The 10758-nt window shown below is 37.2% G+C and overlaps 2 long non-coding RNA genes across 2 annotated transcripts; one reads left to right on the forward strand and one right to left on the reverse strand.

The window, feature by feature from the left end:
- Positions 1 to 1698: 1698 nt before the first annotated feature.
- LOC124902236 (uncharacterized) lies at positions 1699 to 5557 on the reverse strand. Its single transcript, XR_007061701.1, has 2 exons — positions 4886 to 5557; positions 1699 to 3306 (listed from the first exon to the last, which is right to left on the reverse strand). It is a non-coding gene; the product is annotated as an uncharacterized LOC124902236 (long non-coding RNA).
- On the forward strand, positions 5077 to 10494 carry LOC124902233 (uncharacterized). The gene is made up of 2 exons (XR_007061696.1): positions 5077 to 5382; positions 10193 to 10494. It is a non-coding gene; the product is annotated as an uncharacterized LOC124902233 (long non-coding RNA).
- Positions 10495 to 10758: the final 264 nt, after the last annotated feature.

Raw genomic sequence — 10758 nt, forward strand, 5'->3', positions numbered from 1 at the left:
CCTTCAGAGATTTTCCCCTAACTTTATCTTTTCTGAACTTTCTGAGCCCAAAGGCATGCCATGTGCCAGCTGCAGTAGCACCAGGGCTTAGCAGAACAGGGTAACACATCCAAATTTTCCTTGAGCTCTCTATTCCTAAAAATATAATTAGCTCTACAGAAACCACACACAAGACTTTATTCAGCTGAAAATAAAATGAAGTGGTTTATTGGACCCAAACTGCTTTATATTTGTGCAATTTCTGTCAGTTTCACACATTAATTGTAATTATACTAAGAGAAGAATTATGGGATAACTGTCAAGTGCACAGACTGTAAAACTGACAGGGCTGCAGTAGGTTATGCATATTATTCACTGCACAGAGGCAATCAGCTGAGGGGTGAGTGGGGCCTCAAATCTACTCAGAAGAGGCACATTTTTCTATTTCCTACAACAGTACCATATGGGCTATAGTGCTTACATACAGGGGGATTGAGTAAATAAGTAAGTATATTAAGGGTAGTGGGGCCCTGATTTCTCATTTTCAGAGAAAGGAGCTCTAAATATGAAAAGGGTTTTTATACAGTAATGGGGCTATACTCTTCAGAAACATCAATGTCATGAAAGATAAGGAAAGAGTAAAGAACTGTTTCAGACTAAAATGACTCAATAACTAAATGCAACCCATGATCCTGGGTAGTATCCTGGATCTGTAAAAGACATTCATAGGACAATTGGCAGATTTCTAATGCAGTCTATGGATTCCCATGGTTGTACTATGGGTATGTAGGACAATGTCCTTGTTTCTAGAAATACACGTTGAAATATTAAGGAGTACTCAGGCATCTTGTCTGCAATTTACTCTCAAATGGTTCAAAATAATATATACAAATAGAGAGAGGCAAATGTGACAAAATGCTAAGGACTGGGAAATCCAGGTGAAAGTGTATAGGATTTCTCATGCTGTTGTTTAAAATTTCCATAGATATGAAATTCTTTCAATTAAAAAGTGTTTTTTTTTCTAATTGGTGAAGACAAATCTTTTTGCTCTGCAGTATTTTTAGACCAAAAAGATGACAAGAGAATTCATCACTAGCAAACCTGCACTAAAATAAATACTAAAGGAAATTCCTCACACAAAAATAAAAATAATTCCTCCAAAACATTGAAATGCAAGAAGAATAAAGAATAATGGAAAGAGTAATTAACATGTTCTAAAACCCTAGCATTGTCAGAGAAGTGATAAAAGTACTCATTTACATTATACTATAAGTCAAGTTTGCATGTTCTAATTGTTAGGCTAGCTATTAAAGACATAGTAAAAAATATGTAACTAACAAATGATAAAGAGGAAAAATGTTATAATAATAATAATAATAATAGAACTTCACTAATCCAAAAACAGAAAGCAAGAAGAATGAAAAACAAACAGAACAGGTAAGTCAAGTAGAAAATGAATTTTTAAATAACTGTACAAACTAATATACATATTTCTATAAATACTAAATACTATTAAAATACAAAGATTGTCAAACTGAATAAAAATATAAAACCTAGTCAAGCTACATGTGAGTCATTTCTTAGAGACACGGAAATATTGAAAGTAAAAAGATAGTCAAGATCTATCATATAAACATTAACTAAAATAAAGTTGATATAGGTTTACAAATCAGTAAGGTAAATTTTAAGATAAAAATTATTACCAGAAATAGAGACACCTTTGATAATAATATAAGGTTTTATTCACCAGGAAGATATAACAATCTCTAAATTTGTATGCATCTGATAACATAGTTTCAAAATACATAAGGTAAAAATTTATAGAACTAAAAGTAATAGTTGAATGCACATCAGTGTGAAAAACTTTAACATACTTCTCATAATAATGAGTAGAATAAGCAGGGAGGGAAATCAGTAAGAACAAAGAACACCAAAGCAATGCAATAAACAAACCTAATCTAATTGATGTTTATAAAACACTGCAAAGAAAGAATAAATGTTCTTTTCAGTGCATAAGGAGCAGTTACTAAAATTGACATATACTAAACCACAAAGCAAACCTTAACAAATTTCAAAGGCCTGAAATCTTTTAAAGTCTGTTTTCTGACCACAGTGGAATTAAGCTATACCAGTTATAAAAAGATGACTCTAAAATTCCCTTATGTTTGGAAATTAGATGATATCATTCTAAATAACCTCTGTGTCAAAGAAGTGATGATACTGGAAATTAGAACATATTTTAAATTGAATGGTAGTGATTCTACAGCTTATGAAAGCATGGGAGAAGTTAAAAATGTGCTGAGAGAAAAATAGGTTTAAAAGCTTATATTAGAAAATAATATGAGCTGAAAATCAATTACCTAAGTATCTACTGCAAGAACTTAGGGACAAAAGCAAAACAAAGTCCAAAAAGGTAGAAGAAAGAGTATAATAAAGAAGAAAAATTAATGAAATAGAAAACAAATCTACAACAGAGTCAGTCAAACCAAATGTTGGTTCCTTGAAAAATAAAAAGGATAAAATTAATAAACTCCTGCAAGACTCATGAAGAAAAAAGAGAGATGGACAAATTTGAAGTATCAGGAATGAAAAAGAAGGCATCACTACAGAATCTACAGAAATTAGGGAAAAAAAAGAAGATATTATGAAAAATATTGTGAAAATAAATCTGAAACTAAGATGAAACAAATGTCTAGAGCACAACTTTCTGAAAGAGACACCAAAAGAGATCTGAAATGTGGACATTCTTATTTACATAAAACAAGCTGAATCTGCTATCAAAATCCATCCCACAGAAAAAACTCTAGGCCCTGATGGCTTCGCAGGTGAATTATCTTAAACATTTAAGAAAGAAATAATGGTAATGTTATGTACTCTCTTCCTGAGTATAGAAAAAGATATAATGTTTTCTAAATCACTTTGGTGAGGCCAGCATAACCTTGATACTTTCTTACTCTGAAAGTTTTTGAAACAACTGTAAGATATATAAGAGTTAGTAATTTATTGAGAAATCTACAATATGTCAGGAACCACTCAGTGCCACTCCAGGAAGCAGCTCCCATCTTTTTTGTTACCCTCATTTTTAGAAAGTTTTTATTAGTATTGATTAAAATATTTTTTGGTAGCTTCCGTCCACCAGCCCTATTTCTACCCTGAATAGAGGGGGGGAAAGTAATGTGCAAAAGAGTCCACAGATATATTTGCTCCATCTTCAAACTTTACACCATCATCAACTCTTCAAGGGTGTCAGCTTAGGATACGGAAAGAGTCAGGGTGTCTGTTTTACACATTACTTGAGAAAGATGTAATCTCAGGACCCAGGACAACCTACAAGCAAATAACAAGCGTTAAGTAAATATTTGAAGGGAAAAGCGGGAACTCATCAGCCTGCTTCATGCTGTAGGTACTTAACTCTCACATGGTCATCTCTTCTCCAATCCCTGCAGTTGCCTTCAAGCTTTCCCAGCTCTGCTCATCCTACTCATTGCCTGCCTTAGAAGGATGTCTGTAACACACAGATCTGAATATGTCTTACTTCTGCTGAAAAAGGTCTATATTCCAGGTGTTGTTCCAACCCAAGCCTGCCTACACCCAGGCAGGGGCACAGATACCCTCTAAAAGAGATGGACCTCCTGGCCACCTTCCCCAACCCCTCCCGGTGGCTGTCCCCAAGGCAGCTCTGGGCCTGCCCCACTGTCTGACCCTTTGAATGGTGGGGCTCCTCATGCTAGAGGCCTGAGCCTGGCCATGCTGTCATATCCTGGATGCACTCTATGACCCTCTTCCTCTACAATGCACATCTGGGGACCATGTCTCACCCAGTCCTAATGCCTGAAAATTCACTACAGGCTCAAGCTGTGAATGCTCCACTCACTCAGGAAAAGAATTTGGATAAGAATAGCATGTTAGGCTCATCATAATCTGTCACAAATCAGCCTCCTGCCACAGTCCTCAAAAAACCTGTACTTCAGCCACTGGAGAATGCTTGCCACTCCCTCAACAGGTCATGTTCTTTAACATATGCTCTTCCTTCTGCCTTAAATGCCTCATCTCCTCCTCCCAACAAACAACCTCCTCTCCTCACCCTGTCTGCCTGTGAAACTCCTACTCATCCATCAAGGCCCAGCTCAGACTGTGTCTTCTCTCTCCCTGAGCTCCATCAGGATTAAGTAGATTTTGGTGGTTGTGCTGCTTCTTTTCACACCAATCCCATTTTACTCTGACAGGGATATATGTCTGCCTCTGCCTGCAGATCAGGGGCTCCAGGAAGATGGGAATGTTGCCCTGTTTAGGGTGATATCCCTAAAGACTAGCTTCTTTAAATACTTTTGGAATGAACCAAAGCAGGAACTGTGCCATCACTGAATAAATAAATGTGGTGGACATTAATAAATTGTCCTTTAATAAATGAATTAATGATGATACTGTTTTTAGAGGTAGCTTTCATTTGTTACACACTTGAACATCAATACTCACTATCTCTGCCATTGTCAACATGAGACTTGCTTGACTGTTGTATATTGACTGATTGCTTCACTTATTCATTCATTTACTGAGCCCCTAATATTGCAACACAATGGGCTAGATGCTGAGGATATGGAAGTAAATAAAACAGACCCTGCCTTCATAGAGCTCAGATTCTCCTAGATCCGATTGTAAAACAATGGAGAAGTGCATTAATAGACATACATTTACGTTTCATTCTTTTCAAAGAAACATACTATTGTTTTAAAAGTTAATATGCTTGTGATAAATGTTATTCAGTGGCTGGTAACACTATAGAAATTTGGAAGTGGTTCAATCACTGGCCATTTCATTCTCTGGATGATTTTAGTTAACACCAAGATCATCAAGCAAGATTTTGCATAATTCTTATTTGAAGCTAAAAATGTGAATGAATTTTCACCTGAAAGAAATGAAGAATCTTTTTCCAAAAACAGAGATAATTATTAGCCATTTCTGGAGGTGAATTAGCAAAGGATTCATTCTCACATCGTTCTCATCTGTCTGATGGAGATGGAAGGTTTATATAGGCTTCACTAGTCCCCATGGCAACAGCCTTTCTCCTGGGTTACCATAGGAATTGTGAAGGCCTTTATAAACCTCCATTAGCAGAGCTTAGGCCGGCAGCAGTCAGAAATGTCTGCTGGAGAAGACACTGCAAAGTGTCAGTGAGGGCGTTTGAGAATTAATTTTACCCTAGAGTAGCTGCGCAGGTCTGTTTAGCACTCACCTCTACAGTTTTGAACATTCGATAACACCAGAATCAGTCTGATGCCTTGAACACTTTACATGAAGGGTTTTTCAAAATCTAGCCACAAACAGATATGACCAGATTTCAAAAAATTTTGAGAAACTAGGAGGAATCTATTTTGACAAAGCCAAGCCACACATAGGATAGAGGTAAATTCATGTTATTTTTTCAGGATAGTAGGTTGAATCCATATTGATAATTAATACAGTGATGGATGGTGTTTACAGTTGCTGCTATGGTGTGAATGTGTCTCGCCAAAATTCATATGTTGAAACTTAATCATCAATGTGATAATATTAAGAGCTGGGCCCTTTAGGAGGTGATTAAGTCATGAGGACAGAGCCCCTGTAAATGGGATTAGTGCCTCTTCCACCATGTGAGGACATAGCCTTTCCCACTTCCACCATGTGAGGGCACAACAAGAGGCACCATCTGTGAAGCAGAGAGCAAGCCTTCACCAGATACTGAATCGACTGGTGCCTCAGTTTGGACTTCCCAGCCTCCAGAACTGTGAGAAATAAATTTCTATTATTTGTAAATTATGCAGTCTAAAGTATTTTGTTATGGCAGCGCACAGGACTAAGACAGTTGCACAACAATGAGAATCTTTTTAATAGCACTGAACTGTATAACTAAAATTAGTTAAGATAGTACATTCTATGTTATGTTTTTGTACCAAAATTTAAAAAATGTTTAAATTAATGTAGTTATAATTATGTTACAACTATTATTATCTGCTGAATCCCAGGCACTGTGCTAAGTGCTTGAGATGTTCTATGTCATATCATTCCACAAGTCTATGAGTAATTATCTCTCCCTTGAAGATTATTTTTATCTCTACATTGAAGATGAGGAAACTGAGGCTTAAATAAATAAAGTAACTTGCTCAAGGGTATGCCATTAATAAGTGGTAGAGACGGCAGTCAAGCAAGTCCTGGATTGTTGGCCCTCAACCTACAACTTCAGCATTAATGCCACATTGTGTAACAGACGATTGATACATTAAAGACACATTCTGTTGAATTGATACAGGAAAGCCCTATTTGAATTCTGTTTAAATGTTTATTGTTTTCTTTTTTTAAGAACTAGGCGATTATCTCTTAGAGTCCAATTGCAGGAGGACATTCATTTTTGCTCTAACCTTTGAAATATTTTTTACATTATGTATCTTCGGAAAGCATAAATACATTTCCATCAAAAAAGTTGGGCTGTGTACAGATTAATTACTCTTGACACTTTATTTAGCAATCTATATCCAAAACCAATCACTAAAATTTACAGGAGAGTTTTATGTAGACAGAATTGTTTAGAAAAATAAGCTTAAGAATCACAGATAATTTTTAGATACTGGAAAGCCCTTTCTCATCACGGCAAAGAAAATGATCATTCCAGAAAATGTAAAATGCATGTGGTAATAATTTCCTCTTTGGTTTTTGGTCAAGCTGTATGAAAGAAATAAGCAAAAATGAGAATTTAGGGGGAAGAAATTCTACAAACCTAGGGAATTTCTTTAGCAGTAGGAAGGAATGCAACAGTAGGAACTGGTTCTTTAGAAATAAGTCTTTGGGGCATGTCATCAGCGAAGAGACATGTCCTTTTTCCAGGTTTCTTCCATATGCCAGTCACAGCTGTGAAGGACACTAACTGGGATCCTTCCACCAAGAGCCAAAAATCTGGGTCCCAGCTCCTGAAGTTTTCAATGATAAAGTAGGCAAATGAAAGAAGGAATTAATCTTTTTCTCTTTGAAGACAAATGGAAAAGAGGATACTAATTAGTAAGCAATGAAAAATATACCAAATTACATCTACTTTTCTTTATTATTTTGCTTTTGAAGTGCATTTTTTCTAAATATCTGCTGGTGTTTCTGTTTAGCTACTCTGATCATTTTTTTAAAAAAAAACTGAGGGGACTTGAGGAGTTAATGCATGCAGAGTTTCTGTTTCGTGAGATGATAAAGTTCTGAAACTCTATTGCACAACAATGTGAATATACCTTATGCTACATAATGTAGCTATTGAACTGTACACTTAAAAATGGTTAAGATGGGAAATTTTGTATTATATTCTTTTTACCACAATTTTTAAAGTGAAATTGATGACATCGTAGTCTCATCAAATACTACCTAGGAGAGGTCCTAAGTGAAACCCCAAATTGCGTATTTATATAACAACACTTTGTCTTGTCCTCCAAGCCTAGCCCTTTATCTCTAGCTAGTCCATCCCATACTCCAGTAGGCAATATCCAGAAAGAAAGAGTTTCAGACACTTTTGTCCCCTTCACAGACAAAACTCAGGACCCTCTTGCCTTGCTCTCATGTTGACTTCACTCCCAATCTGCTTCTATATTCAGTCACTCCCTCTTGCTTTGGCCTGTGCCATCATCACGGCCACAACTTCTTTGATCCAGAGTTTTAACTCTCCTCTTGAGGCCCCATGTTGAATTTGCCCTCAGGCTACATCTACTTCTGGTCATGCTGCTTCCTCTGGGCCCAAGTCTCTGAATTCTACCCCAACGTGAGGGCCCATGTTTGCTCACTTCAAAAGCAGAATGCATTGGATATGAAGTTGAAAGACACTATCAGCACACTGGACAAAAGAATTATAAAACAACAAGCTAAATGTTCTCAAGAATAAATGTAACACCCTGCTCCTTGATTTCCTAAATAAATTGTTTCAATCTGGGATTCAAGTAGCTGTGTCCTGACAGCAAGTAATGTAATATATAGACTTTAGACTTTTACTGACCAATGTCGACAAGTCCAATATTAATTAATAATTTAAAAAGGCCTCTAAGATGACTAATATGATGTTTAGCTACATGAGAAAGTCAGTAAACTTTTTCTGTAAAGGACCAAACAGTTAATATTTTTAAATTTACAGACCATACATTCTCTGTCACAATACTCAATTCTGCCATTGTCTATTGAAAGCAGCCAGAGACAATGTGTGAAAGAATGGGTGTGGCTGTGCTCCAATCAAACTTTAGTTACACAAACTGGTAGCAGACAGATTTGGCTCATGGGCTATAGTGTGCCAAATCCTGTCTGTATCAATCAAAATACAGAAAAATGAAAGGGATTATTATTCTCATTACACCCTGTAGACAACAAGCCATAAGCCAATTCTTGAGTTCATTTCTGGGCTCCAAAACTTTAATTGGCCAGAGACAAGAATAGAGACCTCCCTATTGGTCATTAATACACTAACCTGGAACAGTTTTTCAGTCAGCTAAGACTCTTCCTAGAGCTACTGACATTTCATTTGAGCTTCTCTATCTAGTCCCCATGGAGAACATGGCCATCCCTGTGCGAACCTTGCTGGAATCAGTCCACCCAAGTCTACTACAGCCCTCTGCTAATCAAAGGAGAGGAGGTTACTATGTGGAATGTTGGTCCTTAGTGAACTCATGCAGTTCCTAAGGATCAGTTTCTTTAAAATGCCTACCAGGTGATCTTTCAGTAGACTGTCCTAGATTTTTAGCTACAAGATGGCAAATCCACAGGCAGAAGGCACAAACTGGTAGCCTATTGGCCCTATCTCTCTACAGTCCTATTTAATTCAGCCCTCACAATATATATTTTTTAATTTAAATAATTATCCACATTTGAAAATAATACAATTTAACATTAAAAAGTTAAAGTTCTAGCAATTCTGGACATTTCTACAACCAGCTGGAGCTCAGTGACAGCTGCCCTTTTCAGAGAGAGCTTAACCTTTCAAGCTCATAGGACCTCCACTAGCTTTACTTGACTCTTTCTAAGTTGTTATCTGGTCTCCATAAACATTTAAATTTACTATCTCTCTACACAACCCACCTTCTTCCCTTTTAGAAAATCATGACTGCGCTTAGCTGAGTCCAGTCTTCTGACACATGTTCAGTTTCACACCTTTTCCAAGATAACCAAAAGTGGTAGAGAATCTCATTTGCAAGGTCTTAGCAGTTCCCTGGGATATAACGTTCCTGGTCCAGGAGGCATGAAACTTGGTGCTCACTCACAGTCTCTTCACCAGTTGGTCTTCGATGAGCTTTTCTATGCTCTTGATTGTTCTACCCTTTTCATTCATAAGGTCTTTCTCCTTGACAGAGTGAATGGAAGGCCAAGAGTTTTGGAATGGCTTTGAAAGCACTTACCCAAGGCATTTACTTCTGCATTTTTTATGCTTCAGTTTGCGTCAAACAAAAAATGTGTGTCTTTTGATGATGTCCTGAGCATTGTCCACAAGTCACAGTTTATCCTGAGCTTTTGCTTTTCTAATGTCACTTGCACACATATTTATCATCCTTTATGTTCATTATTTGATTTATGGCCATGTTCTTTTAAGATCTGAGCTCACACAGAGCTCCCTGTGAAGCCACAGGATTCGGTCTATTTAGATATTGCCTCTGTTTCTTCTACAACAGGATTGTAGGCAATTTCATAAACAAAATGCCCAGCCCTGGGACCTTCCCAACCCTTCTGAGACATCTACCACTTTAGAATTTCAAACTAGCTGTATCTTTTCCCTAATTTTTTTTCTTTTCTTCTGACTAACACAAGCTCTGTCTCTCAAAGTTTTTCTCCTCTCTGATCATAATTATGTACAGGAGAGGGTACTTTATCTACCCACTGAGAGAAAAATCTGTAGGGCAAGTGAAGCTGGGTGGAATCTGATACCCTCTAGGTTCTAGCTTTACCCTTTTGAATTATATGGGAGTAGAGCACCTTCTGGGGGAAAAAAAACCTCAGATATATGTCACATATTAGAGTAACTGGCAAGGTAGGGGTACCCAATCAAAAGTGAACTGCAAAAGGATTTGCAGATCTCTTGGAGATAATTTCCTCCAAAAAAAGAGGAGTTTTGCACCGGGGGAGTTGGTTCTGGGGAAAAAGGTTCTCTGGGGGAAAATGTTCCAAGACAGATGGGGAGATTTTATTTGAACCCACTCTGACTGTCTCCCTAACCCCTCTCCCCATTCAGGCAGACATGCGTGCCCTGGAAAGAAGAAAGTAGAAGGATCAACTAAAAGAGCTCTCCCACTAAATGGCTGTGGGCTCCTCTAAGAAACTGAAACATGGAAGAAGGAAGGACCAGCCAGCCAGAACAGCAGTGGGTATCAAGGAATGATATAAAAGCAAGCTCAAGACAGTCAAGATTCAAGGAGCTATATACCTTGCTTCCTTTCCAGAGCTGAAATTTGAGTCAAGAGTCCATTTCTTCCATCTGGCCAGATGATCTCCAGGATACTCTCATGTATGTCAATAATAACTTTTCTTTTATAATTTTGTCTTTCTCAATATTTAACTCACAGTTCAATGCATTTCCATTCAAATATGTGTCTTGTGATATGTGGCACTACTCTACCTCCTTTTCTGAAAGGCTGCTCCTTTCTAACAAGGTGAACACCTCCACTGCCATATTTAGGTATAAGGATCCTCCCATCAAGTATCTGAGACTCCTAAAGCTGTATCTCCCTTCTCATATTAAAATATGAAAATATTCTATTTCTCATATACTAGTAAGTCTTTCCAACCTCTTGCTACATT

This window comes from Homo sapiens, chromosome 9 (assembly GCF_000001405.40).
Source record: "Homo sapiens chromosome 9, GRCh38.p14 Primary Assembly".
Lineage (NCBI taxonomy): Eukaryota > Metazoa > Chordata > Mammalia > Primates > Hominidae > Homo > Homo sapiens.